This window comes from Homo sapiens, chromosome 22 (genome assembly GCF_000001405.40).
Source record: "Homo sapiens chromosome 22, GRCh38.p14 Primary Assembly".
Lineage (NCBI taxonomy): Eukaryota > Metazoa > Chordata > Mammalia > Primates > Hominidae > Homo > Homo sapiens.
In genome coordinates this window covers 29,528,396-29,552,666 of record NC_000022.11, presented here as the reverse complement: position 1 = coordinate 29,552,666, position 24,271 = coordinate 29,528,396, and the positions used below count along the sequence as shown (strand labels likewise).

Genomic DNA, 24,271 nt, shown 5'->3' with positions numbered 1-24,271 from the left:
CCCCCACCTCCCGGACGGGGTGGCGGCCAGGCGGAGGCGCCCCCCTACCCCCGACCCGACGGGGCGGCTGGCCGGGCTGGGGCTGGCCCCCACCTCCCCCCCGGACGGGGCGGCTGGCCGGGCGGGGGCTGCCCCCCACCTCCCGGACGGGGCGGCTGCTGGGTGGAGGGGCTCCTCACCTCTCAGACGGGGCAGCCGGGCAGAGACGCTCCTCACCTCCCAGACGGGGTCGCAGCCGGGCAGAGGTGCTCCTCACATCCCAGACGGGGCGGCGGGGCAGAGGTGCTCCCCACATCTGAGATGATGGGCGGCCGGGCAGAGACACTCCTCACTTCCTAGACGGGATGGGGTCCGGGAAGAGGTGCTCCTCACTTCCCAGACTGGGCAGCCGGGCAGAGGGGCTCCTCACATCCCAGATGATGGGCAGCCGGGCAGAGACGCTCCTCACTTCCCAGACGGGGTGGCGGCCGGGCAGAGGCTGCAATCTTGGCACTTTGGGAGGCCAAGGCAGGCGGCTGGGAGGTGGAGGTTGTAGCGAGCCGAGATCACGCCACTGCACTCCAGCCTGGGCACCATTGAGCACTGAGTGAACGAGACTCCGTCTGCAATCCTGGCACCTCGGGAGGCCGAGGCTGGCCGATCACTCGCGGTCAGGAGCTGGAGACCAGCCTGGCCAACACAGCGAAACCCCGTCTCCACCAAAAAATACGAAAACCAGTCAGGCGTGGCGGCGCGCGCCTGCAATTGCAGGCACTCGGCAGGCTGAGGCAGGAGAATCAGGCAGAGAGGTTCCAGTGAGCCGAGATGGCCGCAGTACAGTCCAGCTTCGGCTCGGCATCAGAGGGAGACCGTGGAGAGAGGGGGAGGGGGGAGGGGGAGGGGTTTACTAAAAATTTTTAATCCAGTCCAAATTTTTTTTTTGCAACGGGATCTCTGTTGTCAAGACTGAGTGCAGTGGCGCGATCATAGCTCACTGCAGCCTGGAACTTCTGGGCTCAAGCCATCCTCCCACCCTAGCCTCCAGAGTAGCTTGGGACCACAGGTGTGCACCGCCATACTAGGCTAATTTTAAAATGTTTTCTAAAGATGGGGTCTCGCTCTGTTGCCCACTCTGGTCTTGAACGCCTGGGCTCAAGCGATTCTCTCACCTCTGCTTGCCTTGGTTTCCCAAAGTGTTGGGATTACAGGTGTGAGCCATGGTGTTGGGCCCAGTCACTTTTTTTGTTGTTGTTGAGACTGAATCTCGCTCTGTTGCCCAGGCTGGAGTGAAGTGGCTGCGATCTCGGCTCATTGCAACCTCTGCTCCCTGGGTTCAAGTGATTCTCCTACCTCAGCCTCCTGAGTAGCTGAGATTACAGGCGCCCGCCTCCACTCCCGGCTAATTTTTGTATTTGTGGTACTGACGGGGTTTCACCATGTTGGCCAGGCTGGTCTCAAACTCCTGACCTCAGGTGATCCACCCGCCTCAGCCTCCCAAAGTGCTGGGATTACAGGCCTGAGCCACTGCGCCCAGCCAAGTCACTTTTTAAACTCAAATTTACTTTGAGAGAAAACTTGAAATCTCTCCACCAGAAATGGAAAGCTGCTTTCACTTGTTTTATGTAGAAGGTAAAAATTAATATAGTTAATATAATGCAACTAGATCATTGTTAACAAACTCTGGCTAGATTTTGTTGTTTAAGGCTGTGGGATAGAGTTCTTTTGTTACAAAGGAACATTGGCATTCATAGATGTTAAAGACAAACTAGGGAACTGAGATGTTCTCCTTGAAGCAATCAGAAGTTTCAAAATAAGAATTGAAAAGGGATTAACTTTCTCCTTAGGTGTTCAGCATTATTTAAGATCACCTATGCATCATCTGAAGCCACAGTCCCAGGTCATCTTCATCACCTTCCCCAGTGGAATGCCTCCTGTGTTAAAGCCCACAACAACCCCTGTGGTAGGGACTGTTATTCTCATTTGATTTGTGAGGAATCAGACCCAGAGAAAAGTGAAGTGACTCGTCCGGGGACTCATAGCCATGAAAGAGTAGAATGGAGATTCCAGTTCAGGGCTCTCTGACTTTTACCGTGACAAACTATTGGCTCCCTCAAGTCGGGGATGTGGAAGCTTCAGTGAGTGATGATTGTGCCACTGCACTCCAGCTTGGGTGACAGAGCAAGAGGGATTAGGGTAAAGGGGACAGTGCTGCCCACCTCAGGAGGCTGTGGTGAGGCAACAAGGGAGGATGCTTTGTGACTGTAGAGCCCCATGAAATGTAGGTTCTATACTTTAAATTCTAGGATCAACCTGGGAGTCAATGGCATCACTAGATGAGAGGCTGGCAGGACTAGGAGGCATAAAAGTGTAGTTAAGAGCACCAGTATGGCATTGATTGGATAGATCCGGATTTTGGCCTACTAGTCATGTGACTCGCAATTACTTGCAAGTAATTCCCCTTGCGAGCCTCAGTTTTGTCATCTGTGAAATGGTGGTAGTTCTTAGCTGAAAAGTTTGTTATAAGGAGCAAATGAGAACATACCCATAAAGTAGTTAGATCAAGGCCCAGCACACAGTGATCACAGTAGTATTGGGAGTGTCTTTAAATGCCAGACCGAGGAGTTTGGATACTAATTTATGGAGCACTCTGCCAGGCTCAGGGGGAAGAGGGTAGAGCTCACAATCTAGGTGGGAAGACAGGTAAATGATTCATAGAGATAAATTCCCTAATAGTGTACCCAAAGTAGCCAAAAGAGGGCTTTGGGGAGACCTGACAGGCTTCCTAGAGCAGATGAGCATTGCTTAGTCTTGAAGGATATAGGGAGGAAAAGGAAGATCTTTGCAAGCAGGGGAAAAGACATGGAGTGTTTGGGGAACTGGGATTGCAGGGTGCAGTTGCAGCTAGGAGCAGAGGTTGGGGACAGTGGGAAGGTCGGTAGGAATAGGAATGCAAGAAATGAAGTTGGGAAGGTAGGTTGGGGACAAACCATCAAGGGTCTTTATGACAAGTCAGGGAATATGGATATTCAGTGCATTATGAAGAGCCAGCAAAGGTTTTGAAACAGGAGAGGCATTAATTAGGTCGGTCTTTTTTAAGAAAGAGAATTTAGACAGTATTGTTGGGCAAGACTGTTAGAGTAGTCCTGGAGAGGAATGTGGAGGGCCTGGCCTAGGGTGTTGAGATGGAGACACACATGGTGCCTGGATAGCTGGGTGAACACTTGAATGCAGGTCTCCTCTATGGAGAGTGTGGAGCAGGATGTGGGTGGAGGCAGGGCAGGGAGAGGTTGAAGTAGATGATTCCGAGGTCAGTGGGAGTGGGTGGTGATGCCTTTTTAAAAGAGAAGGTGGAGTTTGTTTTGGACAGGCTGAGAGATGCTTCCCTGTTGTATTACAGAGGGTTAAATTGAGGCTTTGAGGGGTTAAATGACTTTCCTTGAGTTACCAAGTCTGTAAGTGGCCAGAACTGCTAGTTTGACTTCAGTGTTATGACTCCAGAAGAATCTCAAAAACTTTCTCCTCTTAACAGGAGGAACAACCATGTCATCAGAATCGAGCAAAAAACGGAAGCCCAAAGTGATCCGAAGCGATGGAGCCCCAGCTGAAGGAAAGCGGAATCGATCTGACACCGAGCAGGTGAGATCAGTCAGGGTTGCCATGCTGCTGAGAAATTACATCTCATGGCCAAGCACCTGGCTGTGTGTTTGCAGCAGCTCGGGGTCGCATCTACCAGGTACAACTTTTTGGTGGCTTCCACTTGACCAGGTGACTGGGATTCCTGTTTCTTCACTAAAGCTGAGTGTCCACATCTGGTTTAGCTGCAGCATCTCCAAAACCAACAAGCCTGTATTAGACATGATTATACCTACCCAGAGAATGTATTCCAGTATGATATGTGTCTCCAGTTTTCCTGATGGTCAGAAGAAGGTAGTCCATCTGCAGCATGGCACTGGAGCTTCAGGAATCCCTCGGTGTGCTGCTGAGACAATACCAGAACCATGTGCCCACAGAACCTCTTTTGTGGCCTGAGAGCTCATGTGGTCGTCAGGTTCTTTTCTTCTTTTTGTCTGTTTCTCTGTCCTTGAATCTGTCAACTTCATTTGTGACTTAGCTATTTAAAAAAAATTTTTTTTGAGACAGGGTCTCACTGTGTCGCTCACGTCGGAGTACAGTGGCACGATTTCTGCTCACTGCAGACTGCATTTCCTGGGCTCAAGCGATCCTCCCACCTCAGTCTCCCAAGTAGCTGGGACCACAGCTGCACGCCACCATGCCCAGCTAATTTTGTATTTTTTGTAGATATGAGGTTTTGCCACGTTACCCAGGTTGGTCTCAAACTCCTGAGCTTAAGTGATCTACCTGCCTTGGCCTCCCAAGGTATTGGGATTATAGGTGTGAGCCACCCCGCACCCAGCTGGAATTCCTCTCTATAGGAGACTGTCATGCAGCCATTTTGATTGAGATCTGTATTTACTGGGATGGTCATATGGTTTGGCCGTGTCCCCACCCAAATCTCAACTTGAATTGTATCTCCCAGAATTGCCATGTGTTGTGGGAGGGACCTACGAGGAGGTAATTGAATCATGGGGGCCGGTCTTTCCCATGCTGTTCTTATTATAGTGAATAAGCCTCATGAGATCTGATGCGCTCATCAGGGGTTTCTGCTTTTGCTTCCTCCTCATTTTTCTTTTGCTGCCGCCATGTAAAAAGTGCCTTTCACCTCCTGCCATGTTCCTGAGGCCTCACCAGCCATGTGGAACTGTTAAGTCCAATTAAACCTCTTTTTGTTCCCAATTTCAGGTATGTCTTTATCAGCAGCGTGAAAATAAACTAATCCAGTAAATTCATACCAGTAGAGTGGGGGTTTGCTGAAAAGATACCTGAAAATGTGGAAGCGACTTTGGCACTGGGTAACAGGCAGAGGTTGGAACAGTTTGGAGGGCTTGGAAGAAGACAGGAAAATGTGGGAAAGTTTGGAACCTCCTAGAGACTTGTTGAATGGCTTTGACAAAAATGCTGATAATGGGCCGGACATGGTGGCTCACGCCTGTAATCCCAGCACTTTGGGAGTCTGAGGCAGGTGGATCACGAGGTCAGGAGTTAAAGACCAGCCTGGCTAAGATGGTGAAACCCTGTCTCTACTAAACATACGAACAAATTAGCCAGGCGTGGTGGCGGTAGCCTGTAATCCCAGCTACTCGGGAGGCTGAGGCAGAGAATTGCTTGAACCCAGGAGGCAGAGGTTGCAGTGAGCCAAGATCATGCCACTGCACTCCAGCCTGGGTGACAGAGTGAGACTCCATCTCAAAGAAAAAAAAAAAAGTTGATAATGATATGAACAATAAGGTCCAGCCTGAGGTGGTCTCAGATGGAGATGAGGAACTTATTGGAAACTGCAGCAAAGGTGACTCTTGTGTTTTAGCAAAGAGACTGAAAACATTTGCCCCTGCCTTAGAGATTTGTGGAACTTTGAACTTGAGAGAGAGGATTTAGGGTATCTGGTGGAGGAAATTTCTAAGTAGCAAACCATTCAAAAGGTGACAGGGCCATGTGCAGTGGCTCACGCCTATAATCCTAGCACTTTGGGAGGCCGAGGCAGGTGAACCACTTGAGGTCAGGAGTTTGAGACCAGCCTGGCCAACATGGCAAAACCCTATCTCTACTAAAAATACAATAAAAATTAGCCAGACATGGTGGTGGGCCCCTGTAATCCCAGCTACTTGGGAGGCTGAGGCAGGAGAATCGCTTGAACCCGGGAGGCAGAAGTTGCAGTGAGCTGAGATTGCGCCATTGCACTCCAGCCTGAGCAACAAGAGCAAGACCTTGTCTCAAAAAAAAAAAAAAGAAGTGACTTGGGTACTGTTAAAAGCATTCCATTTTAAAAGGAAAACAGAGCATAAAAGTTTGGAAAATTTGTAGCCTGATGACACAGTAGAAAAGAAAAACCCGGCTGGGCACGGTGGCTCACGCTTGTAATCCCAGCACTTTGGGAGGCCGAGCTGGGTGGATCACTTGAGGTCAGAAGTTCGAGACCAGCCTGGGCAACATGGTGAAACCCCATCTCTACTAAAAATACAGAAATTAGCCGGGCCTGGTGGCAGGTGCCTGTAATCCCAGCTACCCACTGTAATCTCCAAGCCTGAGGCAGGAGAATTGCCTGAACCTGGGAGGCAGAGGTTGCAGTGAACTGAGATCATGCCACTGCACTCCAGCCTGGGCGACAAGACCGAGACTCTGTCTCAAAAAATAAAAATAAAAAATAAAAAAAGGAAAGAAAAACCCATTTTTTGCGGAGAAATTCAAGTTGGTTGCAGAAATTTGCATAAGTAGCAAGGAGCCTAATGTTAATCCCCGTGGGGGATTAACACCATGGGGAAAGCGTCTCCAGGCCATGTCAGAGACCTCACGGCAGCCCCTTCCCTCACAGGCCCAGAGGCCCAGGAGGAAAAAGTGGTTTTCTGGGCCAGGCCCAGGGTCCCTGTGCTATATGCAGCCTAGGGACTTGGTGCCCTGTGTCCCAGCCAGTCCAGGCATGGCTGAAAGGGGCCAATCTAGAGCTTGGCCTGTGGCTCAGAGGGTGGAAGCCCCAAGCTTTGGCAGCTTCCAAGTGGTGTTAAGCCTGTGGGTGCACAGAAGTCAAGAATTGAGGTTTGGGAACCTCCGCCTGGATTTCAGAAGATGTACGGAAACACCTGGATGCCCAGGCAAAAGTTTGCTGCTGGCGCGCTCATGGAGAACCCCTGCTAGGGCAGTGTGGAAGGGAAATGTGGGGTCAGAGCCCCCACACAGTCCCTACTGAGGCACTGCCTAGTAGAGCTGTGAGAAGAGGGCCACCGTCCCTTCAGACCCTAGAATGGTAGATCCACGAACGGCTTGCACCATGCACCTGAAAAAGCTGCAGACACTCAATGCCAGCCCATGAAAGCAGCCAGGAGGGAGGGAGACTGTACCCTGCAAAGCCACAGGGGTGGAGCTGCCCAAGACCATGGGAAGCCACCTTTTGCATCAGCTTGACCTGGATGTGAGACCTGGAGTCAAAGGAGATAATTTTGGAGCTTTAAAATTTCACTGCCCTACTGGATTTTGGTCTTGCATGGGCCCTGTAACGCCTTTGTTTTGGCCAATTTCTCCCATTTGGAATGGCTATATTTACCCCCACTGTATCTACGAAGTAACTAGCTTGCTTTTGATTTTACAGGCTCATAGGCGGAAGGGGCTTGCCTTGTCTCAGATGAGATTTTGGACTATGGACTTTTGGGTTAATGCTGAAATGAGTTAAGACTTTGGGCGACTGTTGGGAAGGCATGATTGGTTTTGAAATGTGAGGACATGAGATTCGGAGGGGCCAGGGGCGGAATGATATGGTTTGGGATTTAAATCTCAACTTGAATTGTATTTCCCAGAATTGCCACATGTTGTGGGAGGGACCCAGAGGGAGGTAATTGCATCATGGGGGCCAGTCTTTCCCGTGCTATTCTCATGATAGTGAATAAGTCTCACGACATCTGATGGGTTTATAAGGGGTTTCTGCTTTTGCTTCCTCCTCATTTTTCTCTTGCCGCCGCCACATAAGAAGTGCCTTTCACCTCTCGCCATGATTCTGAGGCCTCCCCAGCTATGTGGGACTGTAAGTCCAATTAAACCTCTTTTTGTTCCCAGTTTCAGGTGTGTCTTTATTGGCAGCGTGAAAATGGACTAATGCAGATGGGAAGTTGCACTTAACAGCACGGACAGTATGATCCCGTTTTGTTTACAAATAAAATGTTTATTTATCCACAATCTTCACTCAGTTTCGGACTGAGAGGCGAAATTATAGGCAATTTTTCCATTTTCTTTTTGATACTCCTCTGTATATTCTGAATCTTTGATACCAGGCATGCATTACTCTGCAATCAGAAAGCAAAAGAGGTTTCTATTTTGAAGAGAAGAAAAGCATTTAATTTAAGGACCAGATCTTTTAGAGACCTGACTGAGGCTTCATTGTTACTGTTTTTATCTAAAAGGAGATGTCAGCCAAGTGTCCCTGATCCCAGCAGGGAGACTTTTACCCCATGCACACAGAGCCTTTATCCTTACCTCTACAGGAAGGTAAATACTACAGTGAGGAGGCCGAGGTGGATCTGCGGGACCCTGGCAGAGACTATGAGTTATACAAGTACACCTGCCAGGAGCTACAGAGGCTGATGGCTGAGATCCAAGACCTGAAGAGCAGGGGTGGCAAGGATGTGGTAAGGAGTGGGACCAGGTGGCCGTGAACCTGGTGGGTTTACATAGATGAGGCTGTTTTTGCACCTACCAGGGCCCTTCCTGATCTTGATCTTCTGTCCTAGCCATGATCAGGTGATTGGAGCCTGAGGGCTCCCAAAACCTGTGAATTTATTGGAACTTCTTATCACCATTCAGTCACCAATTACAGGAATGAAAGTACAGGATAATTAATTTTTTCCCTACTAATTTGATCATTCATCCAATTAATATTTATTAAGTGCCAGGCATTTTGCTAGGTGTTGAGAAATGATGGTACTTATACATTTGCTTGATACAAAGATGGATGTGTACAAGTAAATTGTAGATACCAAAAATGAAATTATCATTAATAGTAAATGAATAAATGAGGTTTTAGGGGCAGAGAAATTAAACAATGTGACTAAAAACTCGATAGATAAGTTTTTTAAAATCCATTTTTTCCCCCAGGAATCTCACGTATTTGTGCTTATGCTGACAAGTTTTGTTAGAATTATTGCATTCAATCTATTCTAGCCAAGCTTTATGGCTATAATTCTGTTATTTTCCATTTAAGTTATCCTGTAATGTTATTTATAGAGGTCAAATTTTATGACAAGATGTTACTATTGCTGGGATCTCTGTGTAGGATCTGTAGAGATAGATTGTGCCTTTGCTGCCCTTATTCCATCTTCAATTCCTGTTACTCTAGTCCAAGCAGAAATTACTTTTTTTTGCCCGAGATTCTTAATCATTTTCCTTATACAATCATCCTCTTATTTTCTTCATGACCCTTCTCATGGTTCTGAGCTCCCTCCGGTGCCGTTTTTGGCCCCAGATGAGGATGGGTCAGTGGTGAAGGACTGAAGGAAGCTGAGCTAGCCCTGTCGTCAGTGGGCTTTACTGTTTTCTTTGCCCACAGGCAATAGAAATAGAAGAACGGAGGATCCAGAGCTGTGTGCATTTCATGACTCTAAAGAAGCTTAACCGATTAGCCCACATCAGGTTGAAGAAAGGAAGAGATCAGACCCACGAGGTAGTAGTTAAAAGGTTTAATTTTAACCTTCCTCCTTCCTCCTCCCCATCCCCTTCTTTTTTTTTTTTTTTTTTTTTTTTTGAGACAGAGTCTCGTTCTGTCCCCCAGGCTAGAGTGCAGTGGCACGATCTCAGCTCACCACATCCTCTGCCTCCCAGCTTCAAGCGATTCTCCTGCCTCAGCCTCCTAAGTAGCTGGGATTACAGGCACCTCCCACCACCATGCCTGGCTAATTTTTGTATTTTTTAGTAGAGATGGGGTTTCACCTTGTTGGCCAGGCTTGTCTTGAACTCCTGAGCTCAGGTGATCCACTCGCCTCGGCCTCCCAAAGTGCTGGGATTACAGGCGTGAGCCACTGCACCCAGCCCCATCCCCTTCTTTATTCCCTTTACACCTTCTCTTAGTTTGCTGACCCTCTCCTCTGCTCCATCCTGACTTGCCCTGCTCACTTCTGATCGTATTTTCCTTTCAGGCTAAGCAGAAAGTAGATGCCTATCATCTGCAGCTCCAGAACCTGTTGTATGAGGTGATGCACCTACAGAAGGAGATCACCAAATGTTTGGAGTTTAAGTGAGTTTGGGAGGACAGGGCTTTGGCACATGTGGTCTTTCGGTAACTGCTTTTTCCCATGTAGCTCACTGTAAGTCTGTTTCTTTTTTTTTTTTGAGACGGAGTCTTGCCCTGTCACCCAGGCTGGAGTGCAGTGGCGCAATCTCAGCTCACTGCAACCTCCACCTCCCGGGTTCAAGCAATTCTCCTGCCTCAGCCTTCTGAGTAGCTGGGATTGCAGGCGCCCACCTCCACATCCAGCTAATTTTTGTATTTTTAGTAGAGACGGGGTTTTGCCATGTTGGCCAGGCTGTTCTCGAACTCCTGACCTCAGGTGGTCCTCCCGCCTCGGCCTCCCAAAGTGCTGGGATTACAGGCGTGAGCCACCGCTCCCAGCCTAAGTCTCTCTTTAAAAAGAAATCTGATGAGCTTAGAAAACTGTAGGATCTGGGAGAAGGGCAAATTGCAAGGGTGAATGTGGGAGAATTGCAAGCCGTGATTTCAGGCTGCATAAAGAACCTCAGAAGTCTCTCTGACCTTTTTGAGTTTTGAGCTCTGCACTTGGTAAAAAGCAGGTCTCTCTCCCTATCAGGGGTCTTTACATTACCAGTTTGATTTCTGGGCATGTTGTATGGGAGCAACTCACTTCCAGTCACATTCTTTTAACCTTTTGGCCCAGTTTTCCTTTCTGTAGTCCCAGCAGTTCATTTCTGCAAATGGATTTTATTCTTTGGAACCTGAATTTCTTGCTGCTTAGCTGCCTTCAGGTGAAGAAACTACAGTTTGTCAGTGTCCTTCCTCAAAACCAAGCTGAGAGATGAGAAGGAGGAAGGAGTAAACGGGAAGAGAAGGGGAAGTGTTCTCACTTGATCAGACCTGTTTATGCAAACTGAAAGCAGCTTTTATCTGTAACAAACTTGACATATGCAGGGGCCCTATTAGACATTGGGTCCAGGATATATATATATATATATATATATATATATTTTTTTTTTTTTTTTTTTTTTTTTTTTTTTTTGGAGATGGAGTCTTGCTCTGTCGCCCAGGCTGGAGTGCAGTGGCGTGATCTCGGCTCACTGCAAGCTCCGCCTCCCGGGTTCACGCCATTCTCCTGCCTCAGCCTCCCGAGTAGCTGGGACTACAGGCGCTTGCCACCACGCCCGGCTAATATTTCGTGTTTTTAGTAGAGACAGGGTTTCACCGTGTTAGCCAGGATGGTCTCGATCTCCTGATCTTATGATCCGCCTGCCTCAGCCTCCCAAAGTGCTGGGATTACAGGCGTGAGCCACCACACCCGGTGGGTCCGGAATATTTTTAATAATCATGATACTGATTGATTGTTTTGTTTTTTGTCTTTTTTTTTTTTTTTTTTTGAGACAGGGTCTCACTCCTGTCACCCAGGCTGGTGTGGTGGCACAATCCTGGCTCACTGCAGCCTTGACTTGACTTGGCTCAGATGATCCTCCCATTTCAGCCTCCTGAGTAGCTGGGACTATTGGCATGCACCACCATGCCTGGCTAATTTTTTGTATTTTTAGTAGTGATAGGGTTTTGCCATGCTGGGCTAGTCTCAAACTCCTGGTTGCAAATGATCCACCTGCCTTGGCCTCCCAAAAGGGTAAGATTAAAGGTGTAAGCCACCAAGCCTGGCCTGATGCTGATTTTTTTCTTTTCTTTTCTTTTCTTTTTTTTTTAAAGATAAAGTCTCGCTCTGTTGCCCAGGCTGGAGTGTGGTGGCGTGATCTTGGCTCATTGCAACCTCTGCCTCCTGGGTTCAAGCGATTGCATGCATGAGCCACCACACCCAGCTAATTTTCGTATTTTTAGTAAAGACAGGGTTTCACCATGTTGGCCAGGCTGGTCTCAAACTCCTGACTTCAGATGATGCACCCATTTCGACCTCCCAAAGTGCTAGAATTACAGGCATGAGCCACTGTGCCCAGCCCTGATGCTGATTTTTGAGAGGCATCTTTATCTGTTCCACAAAATCGTCACATAACAATAGTTAAATATGAATAGAGGTGAAATCTGCATCAGGTCTGTACTTGAGTTAATAATATTGTACCAGTGTCAGTTCCTGGTTTTGACAATGTATAATGTGGTTAGATAAGATAGTATCATTGGGTGAAGGGTACATGGAGGAAATACATTCTAAGTATTATTTTTGAAACTTCTTGGAGTCTTAAACTATTTCCAAATTAAAAAGGTATCAAAAACAAAATAATGTGATGCACTGGTCTGTAATCATCACCCAAATGGAAACTGACAAACCCAGAATACAGTGGAACTTGCGCCTGTTGGGAGGCAGACGGCCACATGGAAGGAGCATAGGCCTTGAAGTTACACAGCCTGGGTTCAAATCCCAGCTTGGCCACTCCCTAGCTGTGGACCTTGGGCAAGCTGCTTACTGATAGAAGCCTCCATCTCAGTCAAAAAATGGAGATTAAAACTCCCCACCTCTTAGAGTTGTTGTGAGGCTTAAATGAGGTGAGGATGACATATAGTGGGTGCTTATTAATATATGATAGCTGCCGTTATCATTACTGTCATCTGACCATAACCTGAGCAGTCAACTATGTTAATACAGCAAAGAGGGTTGGATTTTTTTGAGATGGAGTCTCGCTCTGTCTCCCAGGCTGGAGTGCAATGGCGCAATCCTGGCTCACCGCAACCTCTGCCTCCTGGGTTCGAGCGATTCTCCTGCCTCAGCCTCCTAAGTAGCTGGGATTACAGGCATGCGTCACCACGCCCAGCTAATTTTTAGTAGAGACGGGGTTTCACCTTGTTGATCAGGCTGGTCTCGAACTCCTGACCTCAGGTAATCCACCTGCCTTGGCCTCCCAAGGTGCTGGGATTACAGGGGTGAGCCACCGCGCCTGGCAGAATTTCTTTTCTTTTATACATATAAATCACTATGCATGCAACGGTTTAAGCCTCTAGATCTTTTTCCATCCAGTTCTCCCATGCTGGATCTTCCTCATTCTGTTCTTACGCGGCTAATGTCTTGAACTTAAGTGCAGACCCTTGTATTTATTCCTGTTAAATTATGTCTTGCTTTCAACCCTACAGCCTAGGCCCAGGCTGTAGTGTTTTTACTTGACTTTTTAGCTAGTAGTTCTCCTGCTCAGCTTGGAGACATTTGTAAATTTGATAAGAATCCCTTCCGAGTCTTTAATTCATGGGTAAAAAGGTTGGACAGCATGGATAAGGATCCTATGGCATGTCACCAACTACCTTTCTTCACACTGAAATATCTGCTAATGAGCATTTGTGGAGAAGACTGGATTCCAGGATCCTGTAGACCAGGACTAAGCAGGCATATGTTGGGGATAACTTTGGGCCTGCTTAAACTACAGTTTAGTTTCCTGAGAACAGCAGCTTGATGTCATGTTTTTGTCTGTAGGTCAAAGCATGAAGAAATTGATCTGGTCAGTTTAGAGGAGTTTTATAAGGAGGCTCCACCAGATATCAGCAAGGCCGAAGTCACCATGGGAGACCCTCACCAGCAAACACTGGCACGTCTGGACTGGGAGCTGGAGCAGCGGAAAAGGTAGCATTTCCTCCTTCCTGACCTTTTAACCACAAAGTGTCAGTGCTTTGTCATGACCCAGGATAAGGCAGCAAAACACTGTGCAACTCTCAGAATAGTTTCTAAGACCAAATCCCATTTTATGATTAAATCACACTGGATAGTTTAAACTTCACCAACCTCATCATGGATGGGGTTGGGGTTATAATTGCTTAAGGGTTTTTTTTTTTTTTTTTTTTTTGAGATGGAGTCTCACTCTGTCTCCCAGGCTGGAGTGCGGTGGTGTGATCTCAGTTCACTGCAACCTCTGCCTCCCAGGTTCAAGTGATTCTCAGTCCTCAGCCTCCCGAGTAGCTGGGTGGTAGGTGTGCACCACCACGCCCATCTATTATTTGTATTTTTTGTAGAGATGGGGTTTCACCATGTTGGCTAGGCTGATCTCAAACTCCTGACCTCAAGTGATCTGCCTGCCTTGGCTTCCCAAAGTGCTGGGATTACAGACGTGAGCCACTGTGCCTGGCCCTTTTTTTTTTTTTTTTTTTTTTTTTTCCAAAGAGATGGCGTTTCACTCTATTGCTCAGGATGGAGTGCTGTGGCACTATCACGACTCACTTCAGCCTTGACCTCCTGGGCTCAAGCGATCCTTCTGCCTCAGCCTCCCAAGTAGCCAGGACTATGGGTGCCTGCCACCATGCCTGGCTAATATTTTTATTTTTGTAGAGCAGGGTTCTCACTCTGTTACCCAGGCTGGTCTTGAATTCCTGGCTTCAAGTGATCCTCCCACCTTGGCCTCCCAAAGTGCTGGGATTACAGGTGTGAGTTACCATGCCTGGTCTCTCCTTGAAATTTTAATGCCGAAGACCTTATCTTTTGTACCATAAATCTAATTTTGTATTTGCCTTTCCCCTTATCTGTAAGTGTATGCCTATGGCAGAAAGCTTTGTAAACACTATTTCAGGAGGTTGTGCAACATTCTAGTGTATATTCTGGTGTATAGAAAAATGCACAAAATTATTCCCCTGTTGGATTTTAGGTTGTTTCCATTTTTTGCTGTCATAAATAATGCTTCAGCCAGGCGAGGTGGCTCACGTCTGTAATCCCAGCACTTTGGGAGGCCAAGGCAGGCGGATCACAAGGTCAGGAGATCGAGACCATCCTGGCTAACATGGTGAAACCCCGTCTCTACTAAAAATATAAAAAATTAGCCGGGCATGGTGGCGGGTGCCTGTAGTCCCAGCTACTCAGGAGGCTGAGGCAGGAGAATGGCGTGAAGCCGGGAGGCAGAGGTTGCAGTGAGCCGAGATTGCGCCACTGCACTCTAGCCTGGGCGACAGAATGAGACTCCGTCTCAAAAAATAAATAAATAAATAATGCTTCAAGTCACACTTTAGGTATAAACTTTTCTATATGAATAAAGAGGTTTATTTATTTATTTATCTATTTATTTATTTATTTTTTTGACACAGAGTTTCACTCTTGTCGCCCAGGCTGGAATGCAATGGTGTGATCTCGGCTTGCTGCAACCTCCACCTCCCTGGTTCAACCAATTCTCCTGCCTCAGCCTCCTGAGAAGCTGGGACTACAAGGCGTGTGCCACCACGCCCAGCTAATTTTTGTATTTTTAGTAGAAGCGGGGTTTCACCATGTTGGCCAGGATGGTCTCTACCTCTTGACCTCGTGATTCACCTGCCTCGGCTTCCCAAAGTGTTGGGATTACAGGCGTGAGCCACTGTGCCCGGCCAATTTTTGTATTTTTAATAGAGTTGGGGGTTTCACCTCCGCCTCCCCAGTTTAAGCGATTCTCCTGTCTCAGCCTCCTGAGTAGCTGGGATTACAGGCGCATGTCACTGTGCCCAGCTAATTTTTGTATTTTAGTAGAGACGGGTTTCACCATGTTGGCCAGGCTGGTCTCGAACTCTTGACCTCAGGTGATCCGCCTGCCTGGGCCTCCCAAAGTGCTGGAATTACAGGCATGAGCCACCATTCCCGGCCGAGTCTGGTTCTTAGGAAATTTGTGTCAGTGTCTTAGCAGATGGGGCTGACCTGTCACTCCGCTGTCCAGTCCACTGATTGTGCTGGGCACTGACTCAGCCATCAGTGCTGCATTCTTGTGGCACTGGTCCAGAATCTGTTCCCACCCTGTGCTAACCAGGCCAGTCCATGGGCCTCTTTTGGGTTATATAGCTGCTAAGTCCATGTTTGTGAAAGTTTTAGGTCTTACCTCTCAAGCAAGAAATGGAGCAGAAGATGGCATGTGTATTCCCTAGTGGTTACAGAGCAGACAGAGCCTCTGGAGAGCAAGAGACATGGATCCAAAGCCTAGCGCAGTGTTTGTTCTTAGCTGGATGCCCTTGGGCAAGTTATCTACTTGCCTGAGCCTTGGTTTCCTCCTTTGGGGATAAGCAAAGTCCCTGTCTTCCAGGGTCTTTATAAGTATTAAATGTAATTATGCTTTTAAAGAGCTCACCAAAGTACCTGGCACACATTGAGTGCTGGATAAACATTGGCAGTTAATCATGGCTGCTACTATTAGGTGGAGTCTGACAGTGAACAGGCATGTTGAGGTATCACTGGGGGATATCAGGTGACAATGCTCTTTCCTCCCCCAACAGGCTGGCAGAGAAGTACCGAGAGTGCCTATCTAACAAGGAGAAGATTCTCAAGGAGATTGAGGTGAAGAAGGAGTACCTGAGCAGCCTCCAGCCCCGCCTCAACAGCATCATGCAGGTGGGGCCCTCTGGCCTTTTGCTTTGCCTTCACCACTGACCAGGCGCTGCCAGAAGTCATGTCACCCTTTGGGCTTTGCCAGGTCTATTACCCTAAATTAGAGTATAGTATAAGGATGGCCTTGTCTGCATCCCTACCCAGTTGGTGTGATAAGCTTGTGTCTGGGAGGAAGAAGTGCTGGCCTCAGGAATATATACACACATTGACCTGGGTGTTTTCATCCAGAGGCCTTCTCTGGGTAACGTACTTTCTCAGACTGTGTAAATTTAGTTTACCCCCTGCATGGCCCCCACCGGCCTCACAATCTCCAGGCATCTAAACTTGCTTCCTGTGGATGTCTGTTTGATCCCCCGACCATGCTTCAGGGTCAGACTGCTCAGCAGATCTTCTCACTCTGAAAAAAACTTTACTCATGAGGAAGAGTCAACACTTCGCCTGTAAAACATAATGTCTTTCTGTATAGGTGATCCACTTTTTATTTGCTTTGCGAAGCCAGATTTGGTCTAAATCCTTATAATTTTATGAAGCAAGATGGCTAATATGAAAGAACTTTGTAAAAGGATCCTAGAGATAAATTTGCTTTTCTTCTTAGGATTTGGCAAGATCTATATTTCCTTTCTTCAACTGTAAGCGTAGAAGGAGAGTTGTTGACTGCTTGTGGTGCCTCATGCCTGTAATCCTAGCACTTCGGGTGGCTGAGGGGGGAGGATCACTTGAGCCCAGGAGTTTGAGACCAGCCTGGGCAATATCGGGAGACCCCGCCTCTACAAAAAAAAATTAACTGGGCATGGTGGCCTGTGCCTGTCGTCCCAGCTACTTGGAAGGCTGAGGCAGGAGGATCGCTCCAGCCTGGGTGATAGAGCAGAAATTAAAAGTTTTGGTTGTACTTAACCAAAGCCTCTGCATGGTTAAATTTTCTCTTGTTACCTGGAAATTTTCTAAATGTCCTTAAATAGGGTACAGGTTAAATAAATTCTTGTATGGTACAGCCTTAGAGCTGTGATGAAAGTATGGAATCAAACCACTGATATTTGAACCACTGACAGAATAACTGAAATATGAAAGAAGATCTGTCATATTAAATAAGAAATGCAAGTTGTAGAACATATAGTATGGACTCATTTCTATACCTTGGTTTACAAAGTATCTGTAGGGATATATACAAGTAGGAGTTGGGTATATGCGGTATATGCTTGGAAAAGTCTATATTCATAGCAGACCATTAGCAGCTACTTTGAGGACTGGGAACTGGGAGCTTTTGTTTTACAAACTTGAATACCACTTTTTTTTTTTTTCCTTTTCCTTACCCACCTTTGCCACCGCCCCCCATGACTTTAAAATGCTTTTTTTTTTTTTTTTTTTGGAGACAGAGTTGCTCTGTCGCACAGGCTGGAGTGGAGTGGCGCCATCTCGGCTCACTGCAACCTCTGCCTCCCAGGTTCAAGTGATTCTCCTGCTCTGCCTCCTGAGTAGCTGGGTTTACAGGCACCCACCACCACACCTGGCTAATTTTTGTATTTTTAGTAGAGATGGGGTTTCATCATGTTGGCCAGGCTAGTCTTGAACTCCTAACCTCAGGTGATCTGCCTGCCTCGGCAAAGTACTGGGATTATAGGCATGAGCCCCCACACCCGGCCTAAAATGCTTTTTTTTTTTTTTTTTTTTGAGACAGAGTCTCGCTCTATCACCCAGGCTGGAGTGCAGTGGCGCAATCTTGGCTCACTGCAAGCTCTGCCTCCTGGGTTCACGCCATTCTCCTGCCTCAGCCTCCTGAGTAGCTAGAACTACAAGCGCCTGCCACCATGCCCAGCTAATTTTTTGTTTTGTATTTTTAGTAGAGACGGGGTTTCACCATGTTAGCCAGGATGGTCTCGATCTCCTGACCTTGTGATCTGCCCGCCTCGGCCTCCCAAAGTGCTGGGATTACAGGCGTGAGCCACCACACCCAGCCTAAAATGCTTTTTATTTTACTTTATATATTGTACAATTGGTCCTCATGCACTGTGCAGAATCTGCAAACTTGAAACTCAAGGCGATCTAGTTCAGTCTTTCCCGAGTCAAGAAAAAAAAGAAAAAAAAAAACAGAAGAAAAGCACACAAATAAAATCTCTGAAACAAAACCTGAATTCATTGCCTAAGGTCTTGAATACAACTTTTAAAAACAGTGTACCATATATTACTTTAAAACAGAGTTTTTTATACAGAAAAGCATGTAACTCGCAAGTGTATGGCTCAATGAATATTCACTAAGCAAACACATCTGTATAACCAGCACCCAAAATCCCAGAGAAAGAACATTAACAATTTCCTGGAAGCTCCTTTATTCCCCCTCGCAGTCCCTATCTTCCCTCACACCCCAGTAACCATAATCTTGACATCTTAACATCATAGGTTAGTTTTGCCTATTTTTGAACTCTATACAAAGAGAATCATAGTATATACTCCTATGTCTGGCTTCTTTTGTTCAGCAGTATGTTTCTAAGATTCATCTGTGCTATTGTGAGTACAAGAGTTTGTTTTCATTGATGTTTAGTAATTGGTTGTTTCCGGTTTAGGGCCATTTCAATAATGCTGCTATGAGCATTCTTATACATGTGTTTTGGCATACATGTGTACATCTGTCTGTTGAATATATACCCAGGAATGAAATTCTAGGTCATACAGTATGTTATACATATATTTAGCTTTTGTAGACACTGAAACAGTTTTCTAAACTGGTTGTACCGATTTACAGAAATTCCCACCAGCACCATATGCAAGTTCTAATTGTTTTACATCCTTGTCAACACTTTATACTGTCAGTCTCCTTAATTTTGGCTACTCTGGAGGGTATCTCATTATAGTTTTAATTTTTATTTCCCTGAGGACTAGTGATGTTGAACACAGCACATTTTGCCTTTTGGATAACCTCTTGTGATGGGTCTAGGCAAGTCTTTTGCCTGTTTTCTGTTGGGTTGCCTGGAGATGAGTTTTTTCCCAGGTCTTCCCCATTCTGTAACCTCCTGCCTTTTCACTTTGCTAATGGTATCTTTTAATGAGTGCATGTTCCTAATTTTACTAATTATTCTTTTCCTTTATGGTTAGTACTTTTTTTGTGTCTTGTTTAAGAAATCTTTCTATTTAAATCTGTTGTCATCCTGGAAGTGATTTTGTTAGTTAAGGGTAAAGATTCATTTTTTCTTTCCACATAGGTATTTAGCTGACCATTTATTGAAGACATTCTCTTTCCACTGCTCTGTAGTGCCACTTTTGTTACAAATCAAATGTCTTTGTACATGTGGATATGTGTATAATCTCTGTGTCCATCCTTGCACAGTATCACACTGTCTTATTTACTGTGGCTTTATCAGAAGTCTCGATGCACAGTTCCAACCTATTTCTTCAGGATTGTCTTGGTTATTCTTGGCCCTTTGCATTTACATACAAGTTTCAGAATCAGGTTGTCTGTTTTCACCTGCTGGGATTTTGACAGGGATTGCATTGAATCTGCAGACCACTTTAGAATAAATTGTTACCTGGACAATATTTGAGTCTTCCAGGCCATTGACATTCACATGTATCCACTTATTTTAGACTTTTCATTTCTCAGGTTTTTGTGTAGAGGCTTATATGCCTTTCATTTGTTTATTTTATTTTGTTTTATTTTGAGGCAGGGTCTTGCTCTCTTGCCCAGGCTGGAGTGCAGTGGTACAATCTTGGCTCACTGCAACCTCCGTCTCCCAGGTTCAAGTAATTCTTCTGCCTCAGCCTCTGGAGTAGCTGGGATTACAGGTGCGTGCCCCCACACTTGGCCAATTTTTGTATTTATAGCAGAGATTGGGTTTCACCATGTTGGCCAGGCTGGTCTCAAACTCCTGACCTCAGGTGATCCACCTGCCTCGGCCTCCCAAAGTGCTGGGATTACAGGCATGAGCCACTGCACCCAGCCTGCTTGTTTATTATTTTTTGTTTGTTTTTTGAGACAGAGTTTTGCTCTTGTTGCCCAGGCTGGAGTGCAATGGCATGATCTCGGCTCACCGCAACCTCCACTTCCTGGATTCAAGTGATGCTCCTGCCTCAGCCTCCCGAGTAGCTGGGATTACAGGCATATGCCACCACGCCCAGCTAATTTTGTATTTTTTTTAGTAGAGACGGGGTTCTCTGTGTCCGTCAGGCTGGTCTTGATCTCCCGACCTCAGGTGATCCATCTGCCTCAGCCTCCCAAAGTGCTGAGATTACAGGCGTGAGCCACTATGCCCGGCCTGTTTATTCTTATTTGATGTTTTATTGATGGTATTGAAATGGCATCTTTTTATAATTTCTTTTTTTAAATTGATTTTTATTTTTTGTGGAAATGGCATCTCGCTAAGTTACCCAGGCTGCTCTTGAACTCCTGGCCTCAAGTGATCCTCCTGCCTCAGCCTCCCAAAGTGCTGGGACTATGGGCATGAGCCAGGGTGCCCTGACAGTAGGTAAAATAAAACAATTTTATTTCCTTACTGTTTGTTGCTAGTATAAAGAAATATAATTTTGTTTACGTTGAGCTTTTATCCACCTATTAGTTCTATTAGTTTATCATGTATCACTTTTATAAATAATGATTTACGGTCACTAAGTAGCCACTTTTTCCTGTGTGGACTGGCTAAAAAAGGAAGAACAAAAATCTGTCTCTTGTGTGCAGGCTTCCCTTCCGGTGCAGGAGTACCTGTTTATGCCATTCGACCAGGCTCACAAGCAGTATGAGACAGCCAGACACCTGCCGCCTCCCCTCTATGTCCTCTTTGTTCAGGCCACTGCGTATGGGCAGGCCTGTGGTGAGTATGGGGCCTGGGTGAGGACAAGGGGCTATGGGAGCAGCAGCTGTGGCCGAGTGAATCAGTTGGAAGCAGTACCTGCTCAGGAAATTTCTCAGTCCTGCCCGAAGCCCTCAGGTGACAGAAGCTTTCTTCCCTCTGCATTGCCCAGCATGGCTGCTCTGACCAGCTGGCCTAAGGCTGGATTAACCTGATGGGTATTTCACAATGGGTGGCTTTGAGTCATTCGTGAGCCTGGCTGGACAGCTCTTGGGTGCAGAACCCAGGCAGCCTGTCTGGGCTCCCAGGTGCTCACCCCATCAAGGCACGCTTGGCAGTTAGATCAGTGCCTCTTGCTCTGCTTCAGGGTGGGGGTGCCTGGTGAATACAGGTCTCAGCCAGCTCTCCCAGGCTTTCACCATGCCTTGAATCAGGCTGCATGTCTTTGTTGTGAATTTCCAGGTTAGATGATATGTCCTCATTAAGCTTGAGGGCAGCCTGTGACTCTGCTAGGGTTTTGAGAAAATTTTGGAGACTCTGCCTTTTGCCCTAATGCAGCTTTCACCCAGCACCTACATTTTCTCCCCCACCCCACCCCACCTCATCAGACAGACATACACCGCACCAGTGCTTGCTTCTCCTCCCACCTTGGGCACCAACACATTACTGTCTCTTCTTGTGTCTTCCTCGTCCTTCTGGTCCTCCCCTCCCCTTTGTTCTCCCTCCTGTTTCCATCATCAGCTCATATGAAATCCTCCCAGCCCCCTAGACAGGGTGAGTAATTTTCTTTTCTTTTATGTTTAAAATCGGCCTGTTCCATTCTGATGTTCTTGTAGAATGCTAATATTAAATGGCTGAAAAAAATAGTCTGTTGTTTGCCAGTGCTTGATGGGAGCAACTAGTTGCTTGGGGTGAAGGGTGGTGATTCACATAGGGTTGCCATAGATAAGGCAGTGGTCAGCCACTTGGGGGAAGTTTGCCATCCCTCCTTAGTGTGGCTAGGCAAACCGTTTCAGGCTCTTGGGACCATATGTACCCTTAAGAATGGAGTTGGACGGTGGTGGCCTGTCTGACCTCACAACGCTAGACCCTCAGAGGGGGTCTCAAGACATCACTCAATGAGGTGTCATACCTGGTGTATGCAACAGGCTGTTAGCTCATGTGCTGGAGAGGCCAAGCTTAAGTTGAACAGACCTGGTCTTGAATCCTGGTTTATCAGCCTTATAGCTGTGATGTCTAGCTTCTCTGAGCCTTAAGTTTCTCATCTATAAATGGCTATAATGTATTACTCCTGTAGGGTTGTTGTGAGTATTAAAAAAAATTTTTTTTTTTGAGATGGAGTCTGGCTCTGTTGCCCAGGCTGGAGTGCAGTGGCATGATCTTGGCTCACTGCAACCTCTGCTTCCCAGGTTCAAGCAATTCTCCCTGCCTCAGCCTCCCAAGTAGCTGGGATTACAGGCACCCACCACCGTGCCTGGCTAATTTTTATATATTTAGTAGAGACAGAGTTTCACCATGTTGGCCAGGCTGGTCTCGAACTCCTGATCTCAGGTGATCCACTCACCTTGGCCTCCCAACCAGACATGAGCCACCACACCCAGCCTAAAAATTAATTTTTAATAATTTTATAATTAAAATTACAAGCATCAGCTCATTCAGTCCCCACCACTAATGGGGCAGCTACTGTTTTTCTTTTTTCTTTTTTTTTTGAGACAGAGTCTCACTCTGTTGCCCAGGCTGCAGTGCAGTAGCATGATCTTGGTTCACAGTAACCTCCACCTCCTGGATTCAAGCAATTCTCCTGTCTCAGCCTCCCAAGTAGATGGGGTTACAGGCACATGCCACCACACACAGCTAATTTTTGTATTTTTAGTACAGACGGGATTTTGCCATGTTGGCCAGGCTGGTCTCTGAACTCCTGACCTCAGGTGATCCACCTGCCTCGGCCTCCCAAAGTGCTGAGATTACAGGTGTGAGCCACTGCACCCGGCAGCTACTATTTTTCAAGTCCCCTTTTCATAGATACAGAAACTGAGGCTCAGACAGTGACATAACTTTCCAGGTCATGTGTTTGAGAATTGGTTAGGCAGGGACTCAGGTCTGGAACTGGACTGCAAGATCCAAGTTCCTATTCACTGTCCTACTGCCTCCCAGTTAAGTGAGACAATGGCAGCCATGTGCTTGGTATAGTGTAGAATAGAGAATAAGCACTTAGGTGAGAGTCATTGTTTCTGGGATGTGGACAGGTGTGGATTTCTGGGTGAGAACCTCTAAGACAACTGGCAGAGGAGTTCCATGTGGCTTTAGGCCCTCAGTTTGAATTTCTGTGCTTTGGTGTGCACCAAAAAAGAGAGGCATTCACTGCTAGTTTCAGGTGATGCTGGTTTAGGAATTTGTACTTAAGTTCTCTGTTCTCAGTAAATGACGGAAAAAAAAGCTTAAGTGTCCCACCTTGTTTCCCTTCATCTGGAGCAAGGACTTTTGCCCTTCCACCCTTAGTCAGCAAGGAGCTGGGCAGAGGTGGGAGAAATGCAGCCCCAGAGCTGGCCTACTCACACTGCTTAGCAGCTTTCCTCAGCAGCTTTCCTAACAGACTTCTTCTTGCCCCCCAGATAAGACGTTATCTGTGGCAATCGAAGGCAGTGTGGATGAAGCCAAGGCTCTGTTCAAACCTCCAGAGGACTCCCAAGGTAATGTGGTGGTTGGGATTCGTCCCCCAGGGACACCAGGTCACCATCCAAGGGCAGTCCTGGTCTTTGGAGAACTAGCTGGACTAGTTCTGTGTAGCAGGAAGCTTGACTTGAATGTCTTAGCACCCTGGAGTAGACAGGAAAGAGAGCTCACTTCCCGGAGTCACAAGGTGCGGCCCGTGGATTTCAGCCCTGCCACTCACTAGCTGACTGACCCCGAGGAAGGTATTTAATATTTCAGAGCCTCAGTTTATTCCTTTGTGAAAACAGATAGTAACACCTCATGTAGGATTGTTATGTGGATTAAATAAGGTAATGCACATACAGCCTTTAGCATAATTCTCAGCACATAGTACCCCCTCAAGTTATGCATGCTTCTACTACTATTATTATTATTTGTGTTACTATTATTACCACAGCCACCACCACCATCACAAGGAGGGGCTTGTGTTCCATCTAAATGACATCAAAAAGCCCTTTGAAAAAAATGAGTTATACGTCATTCTTCTTTTTTCTTTTTTCATCACCATGTTTTGTATACTGAATAAGAAGCAGCAAGTTAATTTATTATTTATTACAGAGAAACTTATTTACAAAAGACAGAGTCAGGGCCCCTTTATGCCATGTGGGTTGGAGTGCTTTAGGGAGCATTTGGAGCCCCCTCACCTCTAGCTGCCTTCTCTCTGTGGCTGCAGATGACGAGAGTGACTCAGATGCCGAGGAGGAGCAGACTACGGTGAGAACCATTTCCTCTTGTGGGGGCATC

The 24,271-nt window shown here is 46.7% G+C and overlaps 1 protein-coding gene across 10 annotated transcripts in view, besides 1 other annotated feature; it reads left to right on the top strand.

The window, feature by feature from the left end:
- Nucleotides 1–24,271, top strand: part of THOC5 (THO complex subunit 5) — a 47,879-nt gene that overhangs the window by 1,091 nt on the left and 22,517 nt on the right. For 2 of the 10 annotated variants that reach the window (XM_005261798.2, XM_006724347.2), the window contains exons 2-12: nt 1,824–1,939; nt 3,509–3,615; nt 8,064–8,207; nt 9,125–9,238; nt 9,711–9,808; nt 13,191–13,337; nt 15,929–16,043; nt 20,704–20,836; nt 21,557–21,589; nt 23,428–23,505; nt 24,201–24,241. In XM_005261798.2, the coding sequence (XP_005261855.1) occupies nt 3,520–3,615; nt 8,064–8,207; nt 9,125–9,238; nt 9,711–9,808; nt 13,191–13,337; nt 15,929–16,043; nt 20,704–20,836; nt 21,557–21,589; nt 23,428–23,505; nt 24,201–24,241 (999 nt within the window). In that variant the 5' untranslated portion in view covers nt 1,824–1,939; nt 3,509–3,519. The remainder of the gene's footprint in view (nt 1–1,823; nt 1,940–3,508; nt 3,616–8,063; nt 8,208–9,124; nt 9,239–9,710; nt 9,809–13,190; nt 13,338–15,928; nt 16,044–20,703; nt 20,837–21,556; nt 21,590–23,427; nt 23,506–24,200; nt 24,242–24,271) is intronic. The other 8 variants (XM_005261797.2, XM_005261799.2, NM_001002877.2 and 5 more) reach the window with 5 other exon arrangements.
- Nucleotides 88–787: an enhancer, noted in NCBI's record as "H3K27ac-H3K4me1 hESC enhancer chr22:29947869-29948568 (GRCh37/hg19 assembly coordinates)". NCBI's record gives its function as "activates a minimal SCP1, AML or CMV promoter by ChIP-STARR-seq in naive H9 embryonic stem cells {active_cell/tissue: H9 hESC(naive)}" and the evidence as "EXISTENCE:reporter gene assay evidence [ECO:0000049][PMID:30033119]".